General features: G+C 35.5%; 1 protein-coding gene across 11 annotated transcripts in view; it reads left to right on the forward strand.

Annotated features, from left to right (window-relative positions):
* The window catches only part of FBXO38 (F-box protein 38), a 58,879-nt gene that overhangs the window by 8,790 nt on the left and 24,484 nt on the right, over positions 1 to 25,605 (forward strand). For 9 of the 11 annotated variants that reach the window (XM_024446223.2, XM_047417784.1, XM_047417786.1 and 6 more), the window contains exons 2-12: positions 1,967 to 2,157; positions 6,252 to 6,385; positions 9,235 to 9,398; positions 9,601 to 9,766; positions 11,938 to 12,075; positions 13,510 to 13,647; positions 16,377 to 16,470; positions 17,888 to 18,018; positions 21,389 to 21,559; positions 23,181 to 23,323; positions 24,247 to 24,457. In XM_024446223.2, coding sequence (XP_024301991.1) covers positions 2,030 to 2,157; positions 6,252 to 6,385; positions 9,235 to 9,398; positions 9,601 to 9,766; positions 11,938 to 12,075; positions 13,510 to 13,647; positions 16,377 to 16,470; positions 17,888 to 18,018; positions 21,389 to 21,559; positions 23,181 to 23,323; positions 24,247 to 24,457 — 1,618 coding nt within the window. In that variant the 5' untranslated portion in view covers positions 1,967 to 2,029. Of the gene's footprint in view, positions 1 to 1,966; positions 2,158 to 6,251; positions 6,386 to 9,234; positions 9,399 to 9,600; positions 9,767 to 11,937; positions 12,076 to 13,509; positions 13,648 to 16,376; positions 16,471 to 17,887; positions 18,019 to 18,366; positions 18,492 to 21,388; positions 21,560 to 22,498; positions 22,641 to 23,180; positions 23,324 to 24,246; positions 24,458 to 25,605 lie in introns of those variants that run through there. The other 2 variants (XM_047417787.1, XM_047417788.1) reach the window with 2 other exon arrangements.

A 25,605-nucleotide genomic window follows, 5' to 3' on the forward strand; every position in this document is an offset into this window, starting at 1 on the left:
GGAGCCAAAGGATGAGAGGGTTTCAAAGGAGTGGTCAGCGGTGTCCCATAATACAAATGGGTCAGATGGGGAAGCACTGGAAAGAGGCTATTGGATTTGTTGACTACATGTTCAATGTAACCTTAGAGGTTTCAGGAGCTATCATAAGATGGAAAGATTCATTTGGAGGAGGCAGGGCAGTAAACAAGAAAAGGTGGGCAGTGGTTAATCAGAAGCAGGTGAGTTTATTTATAGCTTTTCTTTTAGCTTGGGCAGTTCTGAGTATGAACTTTATTTTTCCGGAGGCCTCTTAGCCAAAATGTGATAGACAACATAGGAGTAAGCTTCTGAGAAGTTAAGACACATGTCACAAATTCAGGGTAGCATAGCCCATATACCAGTCCACACACATTGATTTCTCTGGTTTCTCAGGCCGTACTGGTTAGAAACAACAGAAGAGGGGTGTGTGTGTGTGTGTGTGTGTGTGTGTGTGTGTGTGTGTGTGTGTGATGAGAGGCAAGCATGCTGACAGCCTCAAGAAGTAAATAGCACATAACCTTTCAGTGAGGGAAGAAGAGACCAGAACACACACACACAGGCAGAAGAAATGATGAAGATTTACTTAGCCTAGTAGAGTGTCCATTTACTGCTGAGGCAAAAAAAACCTCAGGAACTGCATATACTTAAAGTACCCTCTGCCCACCAGGTGCCTTTCTCCTAGTGAGTTCTTTCCTACTTTTTGCAGTGTTAATTCCTGCTCTCCCTTCAGTTATGGGCTCAATTGTCTTTCCCTCAGGAGAACCATTAGTGACTCAGGCCCCTTTGTTATATGAGGCTTCACAACTGTGTTTACTGTCTTTGCAGCAGTTATCTCCGTGTGCAATTCTGAGCTCATTTGCGTGGTTATTTAATTGTGTATCTCCACTTAACTCTGGGCCGTTTGTTTACAATGGGCCCAGAGTACATAAGTGGTATTCAAAATAAATGTGCCAAGGCATATTTAAATGAATCTGAATGCACCTCTTTTCAGCTGTCATCCTGTGCCTCCTCCATCTACAAAGCCATTAATATAAAAGAGACCAATATTTCCTATAAACTTCCCTATATCTGTACCAACATTATTAAAATATTCCTAGACAATTTGACAATCAAGGTGTTAACTCCACATGCTGATCAATAGAACAGAAAACCATCTGGGTGCTCATGCAACCCATTTTCTCCCTGCTTTCCCTCTCCATTCCTCCTCTCTCCCCTCTTTTCTTTCTCTTTTCATCCTTCTCTAAAGCTTATTTTAAAAACAAAATATGCATGTGATGCAAAAGTGAAATACCATGTCAATATTCACAAGAGAGGGAGAAGGGATGTTTCATTCTTTCTCTGAAGTTGTATATAAGCTTGTGTTTATTTTTTAGGAGTTCTCTAGTTTTTATCAGATTCACAAAGGGGTCCATGACTAATCTAATCTCTGACTTTATAGGTGAGAGAATGAAGAATTTTAAAGATTGATGCAAGTTTATAGAAATAATTTGGGGCAGAATCAAGATTAGAACCCAAGAATCTCTTCTCCTTTCCACTATGTTAGGGTCAGTCCTAGAAAGAACCACAAGCTCCTGGAGCTGGAAGAGGTTTTGATTCCTCATTTAATGATCACACGTTACATATGAAGAAATTGATACTTGGAGAAATTGAGTGAATAAGCTAAGAAGCAACAGTACAAATTAAAGCACAATACTCATGATTCCTGGATTTTTGCTCTTTCTAAGTAATGCATATTTATATTATCTTCAGAAGTTGATTATCCACTCATCTTGAGAAAAAGATGTTCTGTGCTTTTTGCACAGAACAAATTAATATTTTTATTAATTTGAATGTGATGTGTACCATTATGATACCTCTGCTTGTGTGTGTTTGAAAATAAACATTGTTTAACCTGGGTTTTAGTAGGGGGTGTGTTTTTTTAGTCTACTTCGTTCTGTTTGCTTTTCAGGTACTTTGAACTCAAGTAAACAAAAGGGAAGATTTTCTCGTTGATACTGGAGACTGCACAACAATGGGGCCACGAAAGAAAAGTGTGAAAACATGTATCATGAATAATGAAATTCCAGAAGAAATGACAGCAGATGAAACAAAGGACTATATGAATCAACTTTCACATGAAGTACTTTGCCATATTTTTAGGTAAGATTGTGTTTGGTTGGCTTACCTGCCTGGAATGGATAAGAGCAAACCCTGAGGCAGTGCTGTCTAATGTGGTAGCTACCAGCTACATGCAGCATTTACATTTCAATTAAGTAAAAATGTAAAATTTAGTTCGTCAGTTGCACTGGCTACATTTCAAGTGCTTAGTAGCCATATGTGGCTAGTGGACACGGTGTATAGGACAACAGAGTATAGACAAAATATTTCTTTTGTCACATATAGTTCTGTTGGACAGCCTTTCTCTAGACTGTTAACATTTCTAGGCTTCTTGGGATTTTTATTGGCTAATAGATTTGTTGACTTTTGTTACTGCATTATAACAGTACTGTGTGTTTACACTGCACAATATAAGGCAGTGTTTCTGACTTTTTCTGACTACAACCCACAGTGAGAAACATAACATGTAAGTGATTGTAACTAAGTTTTCTGAGATAATACCCATCATAACTAAATGCAGTGCATACATTAAAGTTGTTTTATGATGAACACAACACAAAAAGACTTCTAAAAAAATTATATTTTTACCCAAACCGCATTATAACAACTGTTTTTTTTTTTTTAAAGGGAAAGCTGTCATTCTAGTTTCCACTGCTCTCTTCTTTCAATTATTGTCCTTATTTATATAATTCAAATAAGCAAATTCTAACATACTTTGTCTCTGAAATTAGAGACCTGAGTTTGAATCCTGGGTCTATTATTTGCTAGCTCTAGACTAATGATAGACATAATAGCAATATTATTAGGATTCAGTGAGATAATGCATTAAACACTTAGCAAACTGAAGCATAAATGCTTGGTAAATGTTAATGGTTATTCTGCTTTTTTTCATATTGCTACATGGTCTTCATAATTTTTTTTTTACTGCTTACTATTCTATGGAATGTATAAATAACATGGTACTTATCATTTCCCTTGTCTGACATCTAGATAGTTTTCAGTTTTTCTGTTTTCTGCAATTATGGTTGCAATAAACTTCTCTAAGCATCTGGATTTTCCATTATTTTAGGTAGTTTACCTATGAAAAATTTCCATATATGAAGTTCTTAGGAATGTTTTGAATTTCTACAAATGAATATTTGCAGATTATGAAGTTTTAAAATAGCAATAACAGTTATTTTAGGAGATCCTAAGCACTGTATTTTTTTTTCTAATATAAATGTGTATGTCATTATTTCCTGCAGTTCGTTATTCTGTGACACATTGTAGTTTTTGCTAGTTCAGTTCTGTCTGGGATTAGAAGACCAAATTAAAATGATAGATTTTTTTTTTACAGAACAAAATGATATTAACGTTCATCTGGCAGAAAAAAAGTCTGTCAGAATAGCCAAAAATTTTCAGAAAAAGAGTCTTGCAACTACCAGATGTTCAATTACATTCTAAAATGTTTTGGAAAAGAAAGCTGGACAGTTGGGTAAAGGAGACAAACATAGGCTCCATTCAAATACATGTGGAGATCTAGTTTATGACAAGGTTGTATTCACATCAGTGAGGAAAAGTTGGGTGGACTATTCAGCAATGATGTCTCAACCTACAAACCATTTGGAGAAAAAAATAAAAGCACATTTTTATCTCATGTCTTACAGCTAAATTCAAAATGGGTCAGTGAATTAAACAAATCCTTCAAAATTCTTTAAGAACACATAGGTAAAATTGCATCTAGGGATAAAGTTGGATAATGCTAGGATATATTGTGAAAAAATTGGACAATATATAATATGTATATATTTTTGAGACAGAGTCTCACTCTGGCTGGAGTGCAGGGTATGACCATGGCTCACTGCAACCTTGAACTCCTGGGCTTAAGCAATCCTTTTGCCTTAGGGGCGCACACCACTGCGCTTGGCTAATTTTTTCATTTTTTGGTAGAGGCAGGATCTTGATTTGTTGGCTAGATTGGTCTTAACTTCTGGCCTCAAGCAATCCTCCCATTTTGGCCTCCCAAAGTGCTGGAATTACATGCATACACCACCACACCTGGCCATTGGACCATAATCTAAATTGAAAATAGATCATATAACATTGTGCAGTTCAAACAGAATATTCAAATGGAAAGGGTAGAATCAAGTCAATATATAATGGTAGTTACAGTGGAGAAAACAGCATTTGACAGCACGTAGAAAGAACCATGAACTTAGTTCTTGAACTTCATGTGTTTATTCTAAAAACAAACAATTTTGTTTCATTTTTTAGTCTTCTAAAATTTTGATTTGAGGATTCATTGTGGTGGTGTAGTAACTACATAGCATGTCTTCATAAAACAAGAAAAACTATGGCCTTCCTTAAAAGAAACCTAATCTTTGCTGTCCCTGCTATGCTCTCTTTTCTAAAGTGTTATATTTGATCTGTCTTCTGAACTCTAGTCCTTTGACTATATAACTATGAAGAAAAAATATGCTACTTCTTAGGGAAAATATGATGTAAAATAATCTTGATTTTGTGATTATTGGTCTGTTTGTATTTAAAGGGAGTAGAATTTTAACCTAGGCAAATACATTGGATAACAATATTTAGGAGAAAAATATTACAGTGGCAAAATTTATTTAGAAAGCAAATTTAATGTTTTTCATTGTTTATAAAATGTGTTGTCATGTTTCTGAAAAATTCTGCTTATAATCTAAGTTATAGAGTAAATTAAGTTATGGCTAGCAGTGATGATTTATTTTGTATAATATTTGATTTAAATCATTTTAAAGGGGTAAGAAGAGGGACGAGAAGTAGAAAAAATAAATGGATCTGCTAAATATTCAACAGGTATATGTGGACTTTTCTTTTAGAATTAGCAGTGTTGTTAAGAGTTAGTGTCAGACAAAACTGTGTTTGCCATTCCTGACCCTTTCTCCCTCTTACCTAGCCATGTGACATTTTGCAGGTTTAATTCTTCTGAGCTAATTTCAGCACTTATAAAATGGAGTAATAATAGTGTATACTATGTCAGTGAAGTGCCAGCAGATAACAGAAAATACACTTACCTGGAATTTGAAGATAATTTAATGAAGGGACTATTTACAGAGATGTAGATGGAGTTTAGGGAACAAGTAAGGGATGATGAAGAATTTGTCTAGGGGATTAGCAGCAGTAGAAAGGCAGCATTGCCACCTGGAGCCCTCCAGCTGGTGCATCTCATTGGCTAAAGTTAACAGCCAGAGAGGGGTAGGGAACACAGCAGGTCAGAGAGGGGGAGATAAAGGACTGGGAGAGAGTTGTATGCCAAACAGGAACCAGCTAGTTACCTCTTAAGGTTGTTGTGAAACAATGAGTAGAATGTGACGCAATACAGGTTCAGTAGGTAAAGGTAGCTTTAACTTTTCAAAACATTTAATTAATCTAGGCATGTGTGGAGGGGTCTTAAGAGAAAAATAGACCTTTCAGAATATATAACAGAACAAAAGTCAGGATTAATTGAAAGTTTCAGGAAAAGATAATAAAGAAGAATGGAAAAGAGGAAGTTGTAATTCACATGAGGTGTCTTAATACTTTACGCAATACTTTTATCAGTGTATGTGACCTTAAAGGTTAAAAAAAAAAAAAAAATGGGAAAAGAAATTGTGTACTATATGACTAGTATACATATTTGTTGATGGAGAAGATAGTAGAGTTTGCAGGAGCAGGATGGTGGAGTTGAGAGGGAGCAGAATGTCCCTGCAGGAGTAGATTCTGTAAAAGATACGAAATAATATTGTGCATGTTCAAATTGAGTAATTCTCTCTGATCTTTCTCAGGTTCCTTTCTCATCACATCTTGAAAAGCACTGTTTTTTTTTTTTTCTTCTTTTCTTTGTTTTTCTGGTTTGTTTTTAGATTTTCTTTGTCCATGAAAACTCAAAAGAAGAAAGGCAGGTTTTATCAAATGACCTGTGGAGGGAGCTCAATACCTTATTTGGATACTCAACTATTTGCTGACTTACCTTTGTAGTAAAAAGCTGTATGACCGTATGTGTGGTAGCTTTAAATCTCTGTCTTAAGATCTTATTTCATTTGAGTGGTAGGAGATTGGAAGAAGGAAAAAAAAATAACTTACTGGTGAGAAGTAATACTTATCCACTTGATAAATACGAGTTTCTTTCTCTCACAAAGGTACCTCCCTCTGCAGGATATCATGTGTATGGAATGTCTTTCCCGGAAGCTAAAGGAAGCAGTGACCCTATATCTGCGAGTTGTGAGAGTTGTAGATCTCTGTGCAGGGCGGTGGTGGGAATACATGCCAAGTGGTAAGTGGATTTAGTCTGTGAAGTACAGTAGTGTCCTACTGGAAAGTAGTAACAATGGTTTCATAAAAAGTTACTTGTTGTCTTGAGAAAGGCAATCTAAGTCACCTTGTAGGCTGGCAAGATTTTGTCTAAATTATTTATGTTGGGTTTTAGGTTGTAAAATGCGTTTTACCTGAGGCTTTATTGTTTTAATAGTCTGCTCTTTTCATTTCCTGTCCTTAAGTAACTATATCAGCCTGTTCCACACATCTGTGATTGGAGAACATGAGCCTTTGGTTAATTGAGTATATGTGTATCACATTAGACACTGTGTGTCCTTTACTGTCTGATGCATGTTTTCCGGTGAATGGTAACAGTTTTCATCATAGATTTCCTCTGCAACTAAACTGCACCCTTTAGTTAAATAAATACTTGCCATTTTTGTAGAATAGGCCACAGAACTCCAATTTCTTTAGAAGACCTATAGTAGGTCTTGGAGATTCTCGAATAAGCCACTGACTGACCTTACAGGTGAAGAACTCAGTAGCTTCCTAACCACAGCAAATTGTTCCCAGTTGAAGAGACCACCTGAAAAGAAAGTTAATGGCTTTAGCTAAGCAAAGCATACTTGAAAGAGTTAAAATAAAAGGCAATTAAGGCTTCTTTTCACTTAACGCCAATCCATTAATTGGTAAAATTTAGTTACTATTGTTTTGCAATTATGAATCTGTCTTTTAAAGTCATCCTTTTTCTATGATGTCCAGATTATGAGACTTCGAAAATGGGATAAGGCTGAGAGGGGAACCAAAAAATAAAAATAAAAAAAAAAGCCTTAATAGAAGTGAAGGGCTGGAGGAGATAATTGTCTTGTTCTGTTCTATAGAACAGAACAGATTAGCTCTGGAATACTGGAATTGTGCAGGTGGATGCTGCATCCTTTCAAGAGAGTCATCAAATCAGTTGGTAACTCTTATCAGCTGGCCATAGTAGTTATCAATATATACTTTCTTATAAAGAACATTGCAAACACCTGAGGCTGGAGCTTATTAATAGGTTTGTGGGAGGCAAACCACGGTTACTTTCAGATATTTAATAAAAGCCATTCTAAGGGCAAAAGCCTCATCTCATCTTGTTTCAGAATGATCCTGTATGTCAGGAAAGAAAAAAAATTAGGGCAGTGTGAAAATGATTGTCTTATTCCTTATATTAGATTTACTTTTGCAAAGGTTAGGCCAGCTGGAATTCTGAAGACGGGATTAACACAGTATATAAAGACAGGATGGCAGAACTCCCATGTGATATAGTCTTACCATTAACATCACTACCACTTACCAATTAGAGAAGAATTTGACTGCATGTTGCTGACTTTTAGGCTATGATAAATAACCTGTGAGCCCAAGGCTTCCCATCTTTGCAATGAATGTAAAAGAGAGTTGAAGCAAACAGTCTCTAGCCTAGGATAAGATCACACTAACCTTGCTCACTAATGCCACCTTGGCCTATTATCTGGCATTTAACTCAGATCCTTTATATAATAGTACTTTATGGTTTACGTATATGATCTCTTTGGATTCTCACTCCATCTCTGTAAAGAAGATAGAACTTTCCCCATTTCTCTCGTGGGAGGCAACATGTATGACAAAAGAGGATAAACATTGCAGGGGTTACACTTGGTTTTAGATTCCAGCACTGCCATTTGGAAGCTCTTAAACTCTCTCAACTTCATTTTTTATGCTTGTATATGGGGTGATAACCTTTCTGATTTGGTTGTGAGAATAAATGAAAAAAAATGATTAACACATTGAATCGTTCAGTCATTAAAAGTTACTATACAAGAAAGTAATAAGAACTGTTATTATAATTAGAGACCAAGTAATCTCTGGTCTCTCCTTACTCTTCACTAAAGTTAGCATGTCTGGACTTTACATGTTAAATGAGATAACTTAAAAATAAAACAACTTTCAAAAAAGTATGTAAGACTTAAATATTTGGGGCCTACTTTTTGTTCTTGACAGTTAATGTTTTTCTTTGTCATTAATAAGCAGACAGTTGGCTTTCTGACCACTTTCATTAAAAATAAAAAAGCCCTTGTAACAGATTAAAATAGGATCTATATGAGACTTGTCTCCCCACTTACTTAACCAACAGCTCCTGCTGTGGAAGTAACCTGCCTCTCTCTGTTCCCATCTTGTTGATTCCTACTATGGTCTCCTGGATAGATAGCTTCCTATCAACAGCATACCCTGAGATTGGATCACTCTGGTTCTCTTAGCTAACTTGCATCTGTCTTTTTCAAAAGAATTAATTGTCTAAAATGGCGGGGGAGTAATAGTTAAACATATGACAGAGTATCAGAGTAATTATTAGAAAATGGATAGAATAATTTGAGATAGGAATTAGGTCAGAACTGTGAGCTTCCTAACGATGAGGATCATATCTTATTTATATTTTTAGTTATGTGTTCTATAGAGTCCTGAAGGTTTTACAGACGAGAGTACCCATGGGGGAGGAGGAGGGTGGTGGTGATCAGGTGGGTGGTCCCACTCCATCCACCAAATAGGTCCAAGTTATCTGGGTTAAAAGTGTGTTCTTTGTTGAAGATTTCTATGCCTTAAAAGCAACAAAAACCAAAAAGTCAATAATAAAAGCCTCCTCCATAAAGTATTAACTTAGATTAAGTGGAGTTTCTGACTCATTTCCTCTGTTACTAAAGGAGTATATTTTCTGTTATGTTTATTCAGCTTTAGTGTTAGCTTTACGGAAATTTGAAGAGGAAGTCTTTTTTAACTTTTGGTAAAAATCACGAGTGCCTAGTAAATGTTAATGAACAGAAAGATGAACCTGGCTCTAAATACTTCTGAACTTCTCAGGCTTTACAGATGCCAGTTTTCTAACACTATTAAAGAAGATGCCAGATGTTGAACAGCTATATGGCCTTCACCCTCGATACCTTGAGAGGCGAAGAGTAAGGGGCCATGAGGCTTTTAGCATTCCAGGAGTCCTAGAAGCTTTGCAGGCATGCCCAAACTTAGTGGTGAGTGCACCTGGTTGAACATTTTGGCATCAACTGTTTATGAAATAATAGACCAAAGAATGATAGACGTGTTCACTCACATGCAAATCTCATCTGTCACAAACTTTTAAGTTCCATTGTGTACTTAGCATCTTGTGGTACATAAAGCTTTGGATGCTAAACTAAAGTCTTTTCTTATGCTTGCTTTGGCATTATTTTCTAGGGTGTGGAAACTTCTCATTTGGAGTTGGTAGAATCCATTTGGACATATATGCCCCATGTTCATATTTTGGGGAAATTTCGTAATCGTAATGGAGCTTTTCCAATTCCTCCTGAAAATAAACTGAAAATTCCTATAGGAGCCAAAATTCAAACTTTACATTTAGTTGGTGAGTACATGTTTCTTGGGTCACTTGTAACTCCTTGAAATGCCATAAAATGTGAATATTCACTGAAAAAGAATAATGAGAATTTTAGAGATGGCTTTGTTGATTGATGATTGCAAAATAAATGTTTGCAAGATCTGTATAAAAATTCCGATTTCCCATTAAAGATCCACTGGTGTGAGGGAAATACTGCTTCACAAGTGTACATTCTCCATCTGAATATTCTTTGAAATTATATACCAGTAACTTCAACTTAAGTAAAAAGTGTAAATATTTTCTCAAATTTGTCACCTTTGGCTTAGGCCACTGAAAGGAATTCGGGGGTCCCTGTTAATATAGCTGGCCTTTAATATTTGTTTACTACTTTATTCTGTATATATACACACACATACACAGAGAGAGAGAGAGTATATGTGTTTTAAGCATTATTCTAGGTATTGGGGATGGTCTAAAGAAGTGGAAATTTCTGAAACTCAGGTGGTACAGGGAGAGCATCAGGAATGATAAGGAGTAGGTCTTAAATAAGACTTAGATACACAATTATGGGAGAAGAGTAAAGATTTCTAGCAACCCTTCATTTATAAGATCAGGGAGTGATATCTAGTTTGAAATTGGATTTTTAGATGTAAAAGGATTCTGTAATATCTGGAATTTATAATATAAGCTCCTTAAGGTCAAAGACTTATTTCCATATCTTTATATTTTCTACAATGCCTGTCACAGTTCATTGCAAATATAAGTACAGGGTAAGTTTTATTAAAATGCATTAATTTATGGGAATCATTTAACAGTTTAACACTGTATTATGGTGATGCAGAGGTGTGGTAAATTAATAAAAATAAACATTACCAGGAGAATGGGCAGTTATGTCCTTTGTTTATAGAGTTTGTTTGAGACAGAAAGTGGTTTGGGCCTGGGGTATACTGTCTTCTCTGCATCTGTCTCACCCTTCTTCCTTGGGTTTCCTAATCAGTACAATCAGTACTACCATCTTCATAGTATTACAATATATGCTAAATTTAACCTTTGTGACTTCTGCATCTTACATCTCAATCTGTACCTCACTTCTGCTTTTTGTCCTTTTGTCTCATCCTTAATTTTACTTCCCATTTGTTGCTATACAATGTGTGTGCATAGTTCAAACTAAATTTAACTCTGCTATTTTGAGAGGAACAAGTTAAGGGGTAATCCTTGTAGGTTACAATAAGAACATTTGGTAGAATTTAGCCTTTATAAACAACTGACCATTCAAGTACTGCAATTTTACATTCTCTAGTTATTCTTGCTAGCAGAGCTCCTATTGTCTCAAATTTAAAAATTGCATTAAACAGTTTTGCCAACTACTGTTTGTTAAATGCCATCATCCTGGATCCTTGGATTTCTTTAATAAATTTGTGTCCCTTCCTTGGCTTTTATCTTCTTTCATCCATATTTCCTGTATTTTTTCACCTCACGCTACACCTCCCTTCTTCTGGTCATGGTCCTCTGTGGATATGATTCCTAGTATTAAGCCACTCCTGGATCCCATGCATCAAATTACCTTTACCAATTTGAAATTCTAAAATAAATGACTGGCAGGTTTCTGCTTTTCTCAGAGCCATGCTGGCTGGCTTCTCCCACACATTTACAAATTCTTAAGATTCATATATTTATAGAAAACAGCTTTTAAAGTTCTGTGTTTGGCTATCTTCCAGATATCTATTTGCATATTTAAACCCATCTAGCTGACTTTGCTCTGAGAAATATAGTTCTCCTACTAGGGGGCAGTGGATGTTGGTAGTCAAATAGTAAATTTGTGTGTTCCATCTCCATCGTTATAGTTTTGCTTTCAGTAATCCATTTTCACTTTACCTCTTCTGGGAAAACGTATCCTAGAAGAGTTGTAAGATTATGAGAAAGACTTACATGTCTAAGACATAGAAATACTTTTTAAACTCTATCTTCCCATTGGCCTTTCCTAAAAAAGTTAAGTCAGTTTATGGTTTACGTAAACTGTTCTTTGTAAGCCTGTTTTAAATAAGGCAAACTTGATAGATTTTGTATAATTTGTTCGGATAAAAATCCTTGAAGGTTAAGCTGTTAATATGAAAAATAGACTCTTGAACTTATAAGCAAAATATAGTATATTTTTGTGATTTTTTTCTTGTTTGTTCTTTTTTATATTTGTGTTTTAGGGGTGAATGTTCCTGAAATTCCTTGTATCCCAATGCTAAGGCACCTTTATATGAAGTGGGTAAGACTCACTAAACCACAGCCATTTAAAGACTTCCTTTGTATCAGCTTAAGAACTTTCGTCATGAGGAACTGTGCAGGTAATGGTACACAATTATGGTGGAATTAAACATAAGTTATTCTAAAAATATCCTGAAGCAAACTCTAGCTACATTTGTAAATACAATTATATTATGCTATTACTATTTATGTCTTATAACATATTCATCTTGTGAAGATAAATGTACTTTTTGTTTTAAAGACATTAGAAAGATGATTTGTGTTTGACCTCAGCAAAAAAAAAAAAACAAAACTCAGAATATCTCTATTTTTTACGGGTACTTTTTACTTTTCCTAGGATTGTTTTATTAAATTTCAGTCTTCTTACTTTGTTTCTGGTCTCCGAATCATTCTGCATGTAAATAGTTGGCTTCCTTAATCTCCCTTAAACATAGCTTTTATGGTATTATCCTTCTAAACAGAAATCTTTAGTGTCCCTGTTGCCCTAGAGCAAGCTTGTTCAACCCACGGTCCACTGGCCACAGCCCACATGATGCCCAATACAAATTCTTAAACTTTCTTAAAACATTATGAGATTTATGCATAGGCTTTTTCTTCTTCTTCTTCTTTTTCTTTCCTGCTCATCAGCTATCTTTAATATCAAGACAATTTTTCCTCTTCCAATGTGGCCCAAGGCAATTTTTCCTCTTCCAGTGTGGCCCAGTGATGTCAAAATATTGGACACCGCTGCACTAGAGCATTAAGTGGGAACTACTCTGCTTAAGGTCATGATAACCAGGACCCCTCTTGATAACCTTATTCTGACACCTTTCCAAGATATATCTTCTTTTATCATCACATTTGACTATTCATTGTTCCCTGGTCAGCCATACAGCTTTCCATCTCAATGTCTTCTCTTATGCTGTATTATTGTTTCGTTATCCTGAGATGTGCACTTTCTTCCTCTGTTTTTGTATGCGTTCTTCAGGTTCTGCCTTTTCCAACTTACTTTTCTCCTCTTTCTTTTTCTTTTTCATGGAGTATGGCAGATCTTATTTTTACACTTGATGCAGTCTGCCTTCTTATCCTTCTATAATTACTTATGTTAGTTCTAGCTCCATGTCAACTGCAGGTTTTTTGATGGACAGGACCATATCTTTTGTGATCTTCTATAGTAGCTAATGCAACACTGGTCATAGAGATGATTAAATGATTGAGCTGTTTACTTGAGTGAAGGATCAAATTTTTATCTTGACTTTTTCCCATTAGTTAGTTTGAGTTCAAAACTATTGAGCCTTTAGAGAATTTACGGAATACTACATATCTCTACAGTGTTACTGAAAAACCTTTATGCTGAGTAAGTGTATGGTTAATAGGCTAACACTTTCATTTGTAACAAGAACCTGATTTCAGAGAGCCAATTTGGCTGTCATTTTAAGACTTAGAGTTTATAAGTTATACATGTCTTTCACTGATTTGAAATTCATTTTAAGGCACTTTACATTGTTCTATCAAAGATTTTTTTTTTTTTCCAGGACCCACAAATTCCTTGAAATATGTCCCTTTAGTAACAGGCTTAGCCTCTGCCCGAAACTTGGAACACTTAGAAATGGTTCGAGTTCCTTTCCTTGGAGGTCTTATCCAACATGTTGTTGAAGACAGTTGGAGATCAGGTATTCATTTTCTTTAATTACTAAATATTTTTTAAAAATCAACTTAAAATAATCATTAAGCTTTTATTTAACTTCCCTGGCAAGTCTTTAAAAAGAAAATGCTCGTCAGTAACTGCTTTCTTTGTTGTATTTGATGGACAGTAAGTAACCATGAGCATAGCTAGTATTCATTTTCTTTTGGTGCACATTAAACTTTCTTAAAATAGACAGTAGAGTGATAAGACATGTTTTCTGGCTTGTTTTGACTTTTATGTAGCTAATAATACCTCCTCTTATGTATGGAATCTTTCTTAGAAATGTTAACAGGGATTTCTAGCGTTCTTTGGTGATGTTTTACAACTTGTACAGCCGAGGCTTCCAAAAAAAATTTAGGCATTAATAATGTTAATCTCTATCACATAATACTTTATAATATAAAAAATACTTTTATACATATTACTTGGATATTGATTTACCCATCAGATGATGATATTTAAAAGAAAAAAGTTGTTCTGTGTATACTTAACTATAGATAAATAATACGTAACAGAATGTGCTTTGTGTTAAACATCTCATTGCAGAAAAAAAATAGTGGTTTAGCAAAATGGATGATTAATAGTTGGAAACCAAAAACTTAACTTTGGCTCTCTAAAATAAAATGGAAAGTCATCAAGTACCATTGTTAACAAACAGACATTATAGTTAATACTGTTGAAATATAATGAAGAGTAAACACTACATTTCTAGACATTTTGTCAGTCAAGTGTGGTATAAGTGTACTTTATTACATTTAGCCAGTGGGATGAAACAACCCCTTAAAACCAACAGTATTTTGATTGATGGCGATAGTTAACAAGATAAAAGTCAAAAACGAAAAGAAGGCTACTGGTGTATTCACTAGAGAGAAGACCTGTAGAGAGGTGCTAAAAGCTGAGTTTGTATAAAGGTCCTAAAAGAAAAACAGAGACTTTTCTTCTCTAATCAGTTTTTAAGGGTGACCCTGCCTTGTATTTTACTCAAGAAGTCAACATACCTCACACAAAAATTTATTCTAGATGGGTCATAGATTCAGATGAGAACAATTTTGAAATGAAATTTAAAAAAATAACTTAGAAGAATGTCTTGTTGACCTTGAGTACACAAAGACATCTTAAACAGGACACCAAAAAGCATTTACCATAAAGAAAATATTGATAAATTGTACCAAATTAAAATTAAAATTTTTTTTTTTTTGTCCATCAAAAGGCATGATTGAGAGAGTGAAAAACCGGCCGGGCGCAGTGGCCCACGCCTGTAATCCCAGCACTTTGGGAGGCCGAGGCGGGCGGATCATGAGGTCAGCAGATCGAGACCATCCTGGCTAACGTGGTGAAACCCCGTCTCTACTTAAAAATACAAAAAATTAGCCCGTCGTGGTGGCGGGCACCTGTAGTCCCAGCTACTCGGGAGGCTGAGGCAGGAGAATGGCGTGAACCTGGGAGGCAGAGCATGCAGTGAGCCTAGATCGCACCACTGCACTCCAGCCTGGGTGAGAGAGTGAGACTCTGTCTCAAAAAAAAAAGAGAGAGAGAGAGTGAAAAACCAAGCTACAGAATGGGAGAAGCTGTTTGCAATACAGATACTGGGTATTGGGAAGATATAAAGGACTCCTGGAATGAATAAGAAAAAGGCAGGCAACTCAATAGAAAAAATGGGAGAAGACTTGAATAGAAAAGTTTGCACACAAGAAGCCAATAAACATGAAAAAACGATAAAAGTTTACTAATCGTTAGGGAAATGCAAATTGAAACTACAGTGTGATATTCAAGCACTAAAATGACTATGCCTACTCGTGACTAATATGAAAAAGATAAAAACAGTAATGTTGGCTAGGATGTGAAGCAACAGGACCTTTCATACACTGATGGTCAGAATATAAATTCATACAACCACTTTGAAATACTGTTTGGTAGTATCTACTAAAGTTGGTCATACACATAGCAACAGTTGCATTCCTGGCTTTAAACCCAACAGAAATGTTTACATATGTTCACCAAAAGACATTTTTAAGATTGTTCATAGAAGCACTGTTTCTAATCATCCCAAAATGGAAAGATGCCTATTGGCAATAGAATGGATAATTAAATTGTGGCATATTCATATAGCAAAATACTGTACAGTAATAAGTGAACAGACTACAGCTACACAGCGATATGGATGAATCTCATAAACAGAGTGTTTAGTAAAAGAAGCCAGACACAAAAGTATACAAACTTTGTGATTTTATTTATACAAATTTAAAACAGATAAATCAGTCATTTCTTTAAGCTATATATTAGTAATTTATGTTCTTTTTTGTAGGTAAATACAAGTTTCAGAAACATTAAAAAAATCAGTTAAAGTGGTTCTGGTCTTGTTCCATATGATATTTGGAGGTTCGAAATTTGGCCAGAAATGGCAGGGTTTCTTTTTTTACAATTCTCTCATCAGCTTCTGACTTTCTAAAAATCCTTACTTAACAATGTAAATCTTTTAGAGTAGTTTTCAGATGCCATCAGTGTCTTTGCAAAATGAGGGTCTGCTTTCATTTCCTTTTAGGTCACCAGTAGTTATAATTCATCTTAAGATATTAATTTCAATGCAAAAACAAAGCTTAGATTTACTTTTAAATCAGTAATTATCATCTCAGATAATACTTTATAATGTATAGTATATAAATACTTCACTAAAAATGCTATGGTCAAACACTTGTTTTTGTTCCTCGTCTTTAGGTGGTTTTAGAAATTTGCACACTATTGTTCTGGGAGCTTGCAAAAATGCTCTTGAAGTAGATCTTGGTTACCTCATCATTACTGCTGCCCGTAGGTATGTTTCCTCTTTGTATTGTGTCTCTCACTTTAGAAGTAATTATGTTTTTCCCTATTTTACAAAAAATTGTGGAATGTGTGTGTATATATGTGTGTACATTTGATCAAGCCTTGTTCAAATTTAAAATACGAAGAAGTCCAAATAACAGATAAGTATAACATCATGGTAGTCTTAATGTTATAACTGGTAACCAGTTGAGCTGCATACTAGCAAGCTCCAGAGTGGCATGGTCTCATATCAGAGAAAAGCAGTGGAATTTCTGGAAATGGCTGAGAGTCCAATAGAAGTTAGCATTGAAGCTCTGGTGTCTGTAGCCCTCTCAGGACCATTGTCTCCATCTCTGGATGATTTTCTGAATTGTTCTAGTTACTTGGTGATAATATTTGCTATTCAGAAATCAGTGTTTTAAATCAGCTTTTCCAAAGTCTGACCTTGTAACACCTCTATATTTTTTAACCAAGTGGTTATATCACTTTATGCCACATTTACTATTTCTTACATATCAATGGTCTACCTCCACTTTTATTTTATAATATTTTCTTTAAGCATTTTTAAAATTTATTCAGAAACAAAGCTTTTTCCATCAAGAGACTTGATTAGGATTATAAATAAAAGTGTTTCTAAGTTTAGGTAGGTATTGTTACCTACTACAGAATTATACTCTTTGTTAAAATGCAACATTAATAGCTAGCCTAAGCAAAATGTCAAATACCAGCACCAGATGCAGATTCTCACATTGACTCTTCAGGTTTAGTAAAGCACTTGAAAGGATATAAGATTCTTACCTGTAATTAATTGTTATTTAATGTATAGCTTCAGTGTACTGCTTAAGATTTCCTTACACTTTGCAGATACTCCTTTGAAGAAAATATTTTTTTTTTCAATGGAGGAAGTGGGAGGGAAGTTGTTGACATCTGTGACACTTCACTAAAGTCATGAACTTCTTTCAGAGTCTTACTGATATGGTTTGGCTCTGTTTCTCCTCAGATCTCATCTTGCAGCTCCCATAATTCCCATGTGTTGTGAGAGGGACCCAGTGGGAGATGACTGAATCATGGGGGTGGTCTTTCCCATGCTGTCCTCATGATAGTGAATAAGTCTCACTAGATCCAATGGTTTTAAAAATGGGAGTGTCCCTGCACAGCCTCTCTTTTTTTGCCTGCTGCCATCAGGCAAAAATGTGACTTGCTGCCATCAGTCAAGATGTGACTTGCTCCTTTTTGCCTTCAGCCATGTTCGTGAGGCCTCCCCAGCCATGTGGAACTGTGAGTCCATTAAAACCTCTTTTTCTTCCCAGTCTCAGGTACGTCTTTGTCAGCAGCATAGAAACGGACTAATACACTTATATTAGGAGGAATCTTTGATTCTGATGGTTTTTGTTTTACTCTGATATGTTCTCTGTCTTTATTCACAGGTTACATGAAGTTCGGATCCAGCCTTCCCTAACCAAAGATGGTGTCTTTTCTGCCCTAAAGATGGCAGAGTTGGAGTTTCCCCAGTTTGAAACCCTTCATCTAGGATATGTAGATGAGTTTTTGCTACAGAGTAAGATTTATCCCATTTTAATTCCTAGAATTACTGTAAGAAATTTACTTGACAAACTGAAATCTGAATTGGGTTGTGCCATGTCTTTTTGAACATAAGACAACTTAAAATCTTAGGTGCTCTCACGTCTTGAAAAATAAACTTTTAAATTAGAAATGTCAGTGATTTTTTTTTCCATATTGCCTCTGATTTTAGCATATTATAGAAAATATAGTTACTAACAATACACCAGAAAAAGAACCTTATCTACATTTGATATTGTCTCCACTTTACTGCCCAAGTTTCTTTCCCATTCTGCTTCATTTTTTTCACAGAATGTCATCCTTGGTTCCATTGTTGAATTTGATCTGCCACACTTCTTGAAGCTTTTGATGGTCCTCTCAGATGAGGTCCCATTCCCTGCCCATGCTCTTCATTTCCATAATAAGCCCGCTGGGGGTTCTGGATTTTCCAGATAGTGTGAGCACATAATGGTCAGTATTCATTTAATGATGATTGCTGTTGGAAAGCTTGTTCACAGCATTTTCTTACCCATTTACAATTGAGAACTCATTTCTTTGGGTTTGAATGCATGTCAATTCATTACTCAAACTATTTTTCCATATGGCATCAATAAGATATGAAAGAAAATTTTCATCACCAACATGCTTTTATTTATTCAAGAATTCATTTTCTTCCCACCTGATTTGCAACAAGTCTTTCTTGAACTCTCATCCTCATAGCAGATAACATTTTTTCTTTGGATCTAGTTTGTATTATAGAAGAACATAAGAAGGCTTAATTCTTCCATTCAGGACAATCCAGCTCAAAAAACATGACTGTTTTTCATTTCTAATATATATTACAATAATAGTTGTGGGTTTTTTGTTTGTTTACTTTTTTGTTTTTCACAGTACTCATTAATATAGGTGATTACTTTAAAAAGTCAAGCCATCCTTTTCTAGACAGTTTACTATTAGAATCATGTTAAATCTGTATAGCTTTGAAAAAGATCAGCTTTTCTCCAAAATAGCTTTAAAATGCTAATGAGTACAATGATTTTATATAAAATTAATACATTTGATATCAAGCTTTTCTGGTTTTGAATGAAGTATCTAACATTCCCTATGTTTCTGCAATGTCTGTATAGTAACAAAATTATTAGCTTTGAAATTGATATTCTTTCTATAATTTTGTTTTCTATTTTTCCCAAAAGCTCAGAACTTGACAAATTGTGTACCTTCAGGATGGCCAAATTTAGGTCTACTGAAGAATTGTCTTCAAGTGTTAACTTCATAACCAATTATTTTCCTGTAGTGTTTCTTTCTCCTCAACATATGTTTTCAATAGCATAAAAATACCTTCTTGACTACCATTATCTCGTAGTTTTCAACACAACTTGTTTCATGTTCTGTTTCATACTTAATAGTCTGTTATGTTGAACTTTGTACATTCATTTTCTTATTTGCCACAGTTTAACCATTTCTTCCATATGCATACTATCTTCTGTCCCTCCAAAGATGACCTAGGATTCTCTGTTTCAGAATAGGTGCCTGGTACTTGTTATGGACGATATCATGAGGTCACTGCTCACTCACACTCTCTCACTTAGTTTCTCTCTTCTCAGTAATTTAGATTTGAAGCATCTCTCCAAGAAGTGGTGGCTGGCCTCTGGTAAAACTTGAGTCACTTTCTTGTTATAAAAGGTCTGGCAGAATAAATAAATAGAAACATCACCTTTGTCTTCTGACAGTGACCCAAAGATGAATCTTTAGAGAGTTCTTTGTTCATGTGGATTTATGATCTGTAAGCTTTATATAATACTGATAGAGACGTATAACTCAGTGAAAATTTCAGAAACAATATAGTCCTAGCCCTAGAGTTCTAGCAATTTAGTCCTAGAGCTTGAGGGAGAGAGAGAATTGAGGCCTGTCTGCTACTAATCATGAGACCTAAGCAAGTTAATTCTCATTTTTTAAATGAAGATAAGGTGGTATCCTGCTTTTCTCTTGGGTAGCTCTGAGGAACCAAGGGAAAAGTGATGTATACATTTACAGTAATCTCTGACACTTAGGAAGTATTCAATAAATGATAACTTTTACCTTTAGCTCACCTGTGGGCTGAAAAGAAAAACAAAAATGAATCTCAAGTAATATCATCAGGATTTTGAAAGGAGTGTGTCAAGCAGGAAGCCCCAAGAGTAGAAACATGGTGTTCATCTCAAAAAACTAAATGCAAGACATCGATTTGTCATGTTAGGTTACAGCATTTATTCAGATAGTGCCCAGGAAACAGGGTCAGTTCAAGGTTTACCCTATCTTAAGGAAAATGGTAAGTTTCATCTGAAGTCCTAAGAGCAGGGAAATGATCCTTACCAGGAGCTAAAGAAAATAGTTCAGCTAAATTGTAAAGGATGGATTAAGGTGAAATTTGTAAGATGTGCCAGGAGATACCAAATATAGGAACTATAGGAGAAAGACTGTCAACTATATGGAAAGTAAAATTGGAAGTTTGGAGAAGATGGATTGTTTTTAACATGTTGTAGCTAAAGTTGTAAATCCCTGTGATATTCAGGGCAGCTTCACCAGAGTGGCAGTGTTTTTTTTTTGTCCTGCATATTGGTTGATTGCAGACTGTGAGAGACGTATTCCCATGAGCTCTTGTATCCCCAGCACTATGCTAGACACTAAAGATGTAACTATGAACTAACAGAATCTTGGAGCGTGAGGGGGCAGGCAGATGGGAGAAATGATAAGAGGCAAGGGATGAGGTGTGATTCTTAGTGACATGATCTAGAATAAAGGATCCTCCTTTACTTATTCCCAAACCCCTAGTTTGTGACCAGAGAGTAGGCACTAAAGCCCAGTGGCATGTGTTTGAGTTAGAAGTGCACTTTTAGGGTATAGATAGATGTTACTAACCAGTGCCATGGGTTCTAACAATGAATCTTAAATTCTCAGAGTTTACCTTTCTCTACACATGTCCACACTGGGCTCCAAGAACATCATTTTATTGTAAGGGAGTTGAGTTTTTAAGATTTTGTTTTCCTTTTAAATGATAAAGCTAAAACTTTACCATGGTATGAACCAGTATGATAGATCCTTCACTTATGCTTTAAGAATTTTTGCCTTTTCTCTTCTCTAAACAATTGGAAATAATTTTTCCTACTAGCTGTCCCTTGACTTTTAATATAATTTATTATTTTGTACAAGAAGTGCTACCATATGTACGGAATACCTAACCTAAAATTATACCTGAACCCAATGATAAGCAGATGATACAGAATGATGGTAGAGACTTTTTATACTGACTGGTAAGATACAAAGTTGGTAACACTCCCTAACACTTAAGAATTTGACTTTTTTTTTTTTTAATTGATTGCTCTTTTTAGGCAGAATGGCTAATGCGGATCTGGTGAAGTATGGTTTGGCTGATGTGGTAGAAAATCCTGGTATCATCACTGATATAGGGATGAAAGCAGTCAATGAAGTTTTTTCCTGTATCAAATATCTGGCAATTTACAATTGCCCTCATCTACACAACCCATACAATTGGATCTCAGGTATTACAGACTTAAAAATACAGCTATGTTTTATTGATACTGAAATAATACAACTTTCCATGTTTTCTATGTGTGATATGATTGCATTCCTAATGTAAAATGTAGGTATTTCATTTGGATTGTTCATACAAGTTCTGGTAACCTTTGATAACCAAGTTGGAAGTATATTCAATGCCTCTTTAAACTTCTGACGTTCTCTGCCTAGAAGTGTATACTCTCCAGGTTGTGGATTCAAGTGCCCTGATTTTTATATGTACTTCTTTGGGCTAGGAACATAAAATTAAGGTTAGTTCATTGTTACCTAGGACTTAGGATATTGTAGTTATTTTCTCAGAATTATCTTCACAATAGCACATCATCTGAAAGGACAAAGTAGGTATGTATGTTGAACTTTAATTAAGTGACATTAACCTGAGATAAAAATTTCTATTGACTAGAAATCCCAGTCTATTTCAGATCTCCCCCTCCAATCTCCTATATGTAGAAGTGTGACTTTTGCACTTGATATTTTTCCCTTATGGTGGGAGTTCATTTTCCTCTCAGAGTAATGTCATCTGTTTTCTTAAAGGCCCTTCTTAGATACCGAAATTTACAAACCATTAAATAAATTGAGAGCCTGAAAAAGTTGTACTTGTGACAAAGCCTCTCACTGACACCTACAGAACAGCCTCCTCTGCTATTGAGTCACTTGACCGGGATCTGTATCTCCTCACAAAGCTACTATCCAGGCCTATTTTAGGGCTCTGGGACCTCTGCTGAGATCACTCGTTAATATAGTCATGTCTCATGTGCCAGCAGCAGTTAAATTCTATCCCTGGCCCTGCTGAACCAAGAAGTTATTGGGAAATATGAACTTTAGGATGTAGCAGGCGTAGATGACTTTAAAAAAATAACATTTATTGGGTTTTTGGTTTGTTTGTTTTCTTAAATACAGAAGAGTATAAAGAAGAAAACAAAAAATGGCCTATAATCCCATCACTCAGAATTCCTGTTAACACTTAAAAAAATAAGTAATACATGCACTTGATAAATTTCAAACAGTACAGAAAGGTACAAAATGAAAACTCTCCTCTTCTCAAAGGTAACCATCATCAACAGTTTTTTGTATATTTTTCTGGACAAATTATGCATATTGCAGCATATATATGTGTAGCATTTAAAAATGATTTATATTATACCAAAGGATCTTACTCTGTATACACTGTCCTGTAGCTTGTTTTTTGTACTAAGTATAATTTGGAGAGTTTTCCATGTCAGCAAGCATATTAAGCTCTCCTTAATTCTTTTGAAATAGCTACATAATGTTCTATTAAATAAATATGCCATAATTTTTTAATTCAGTGTCCTATTGTTGAAAAGCCATGTAGGTTGTTGAGTGGATCACATTTAAATCAGGGCTGATTGGATTCAAATTAATGTTCCCCAGGCCATTTAGTTCTCACAATGGAATTAGGTATGTAAACATCATAATTTAGAATCATCGGGTTTTAGAAGTCATGAAAAAAAGGAAAAGTTATTTTAAAAAAAAGGATTTGAAAGTCTTTGTGACCTGTATCAAAATTCATCAGTAATGGGGAAAATGTTACTTAGATTTTCTCTGGTCATGTCATTTCTTTAACAGACCACTCAAGATGGACTCGATTGGTTGATATCAACCTAGTACGGTGCCATGCTTTGAAGCTGGACTCTTTTGGCCAGTTTATTGAATTATTACCCAGCCTAGAGTTTATTTCACTGGATCAGATGTTTCGTGAACCACCCAAGGTAAGATACATTTGAGGGAGTTTTTGTTTATTTTGATAGGAAAGAAAATAAAAACAGCCTGTGATTTTTTTTTTTTTTTCTTTTCAATGATATGCCTTTACGGTGTTACAGTCGGACTTTTTACTGCCAGCCTCAGTGAAGGCATAAAGGTTGTAATAATGCATAGCCTCTCATTCTTCTAAATGAGAATTAAGGGTTCTCTGGGGAAGGGTAAGGAAAAAATAAGTGGAAGCTGTCTGTTAGTATATAAACAAAAGGTAAGGTAAGGGTGAGGCTGGAAATTTAAGACAGAAATTATTACGTGGGATAATTCATTGGTGGATTAAATATAATTAGGTTGGTAGATTAAATCTAATTAGGAATCCAAAGTATAAACAAGAATTAAGGATTTATTTGGGGAATGTTTTACTTTGCTGCTATCTTTCTGTTAAGTTGTATAGCCTGGGAAATCTGAGGTAGCCCAGTTGTACAAAATGTTATTTTAAAACTGCTTAACATATAGAACTTTGTACTCTTAAGGCAATTAAAAACTTAATCCTTCAACCATTTATGTTCTCTCTTGTCAGTTATTAATGGTTACATTCCCACTGTTGAAGCAGTACAATATAATGGGGAAAGCTCAGGATTTAAGGTCAGAATCCTGGTTTCAAATTGCGGCTCTACCACTTACTGGCCATGTGCTGTTGGGCAGATCTCTTCTCCTTGCATGACTCCTCATCTGTAAATCAAGCCAGTAACCCTTTATCTATCTTGAAGTGTTGCAGGCCTTAAATGGGATTTTCTATGTGTATGTGAAAGCATTTCATAAATAAGTACTATATAAATATTAGTTATAATGTAAAGGTGAAATGAAGGGATATTAAAAATGAAGGGATATATACTAACCCAAATTAATAAACGTATGTGTTTTGGTTTTGCCTTAGGGTTGTGCTCGAGTTGGTCTGAGTGCAGGCACAGGAATTGGTGTTTCATCAGCTCTTGTTAGCAACCAGAACTCCAACAATGACGATAATAATGCCCAGAATAACAATGCCAACATCCACGACAACAATCACCATCATCCAGATGACTCAGACGAGGAGAATGACTTTCGGCAAGATCTGCAGCCAGGAGAGCAGCAGTTTGCAGCTGACGGTAACCCAGATCTTTTATGAGCTCCAGATAGAAATGATTTTCACTTTGTATTGTATTTCTGGCTTTATCCTGTTCCCTTTTTCCCCTGTTTCAACTTGTCACTTTCCACATTGAGGAAAGCTAGTTGATAAGGAACATGAGGGAGTAGGTGAAATTTTTCTCTTTTCTTGCTTGTTTCAAAACTGCTTTTATCCACAGACCCTATAAGAATACCTACAGAATGGGAAAGATTACAGATGCCAGGGGAATTAGGGTAGAGTGGTAACTCTTGAGGTCTGAGACTTAACTTTCAGGATTTAGACAAAGGAGTATCTTTTATTGTCTCCTAGACCAATGGATAGCATGAACATTAAGACCATTTCTGGATATTTGAAGAACTGAAAGATTAATACCAACCATGGGCTAGACATTGGCACCTTTCATGTACCTTTAATCATTAGGTCTTCACTTCCACCCTGCAGATTAAGTACATTAGCTAAGAAGGACCTATTCTATTTCATTTATGTAATTATCTGTCCAGTTCATTAATATATATTGAATACTTACGGTGTGCCAACCCATGTGTGAAGGTGCTCCATCCATCCTTCTGTTGATGAGTGAAGTGATGTGAGATTGTTTTGTTACCAAATTTTCCAGTTTCCCAGTTGACGCTTAGGAACTGGAAAAGGAATCTTTTCTAGCCATCCTTTTGTTGTTCCCCATTTGCCTACTCTTGCACACAGTAATTAATGAGAAATAGGGTGCCCTGATATGTACCTGCTTTTACAATGAAATGTACTGTGTACAGGGCATGATTTCCTTTAGGGGCACTCTGAGTATACAGTTCCTGACAAAAGAATCATCTGTAGGCAATGTCTTCACTTTCTCATCTCACTTGGTCCCTATAGAACTCTCCACTTTGGCTCTTGGCAAAGTCACTAGTGATTGTCTTACTGAATCTGGAGGTCATTTCGCCACTTTCATCTAATTTGACATCTCAGCAGCATTAGACATTGTTGCCTAGACTTGTACACTCTTGAGACACTTTATTCTCTTGGCATCTCTGAAACGATTTTGCTGGTTTTTCTCCTACCTCATTTTCCTTTGCTTGTAGCACCTCCTGTATTCCACTTTTGTCCATGATATCTTTCTCTACACATTTTCACTCA

The sequence above is a fragment of the Homo sapiens genome, chromosome 5 (genome assembly GCF_000001405.40).
Source record: "Homo sapiens chromosome 5, GRCh38.p14 Primary Assembly".
Taxonomy (NCBI): Eukaryota; Metazoa; Chordata; class Mammalia; order Primates; family Hominidae; genus Homo; species Homo sapiens.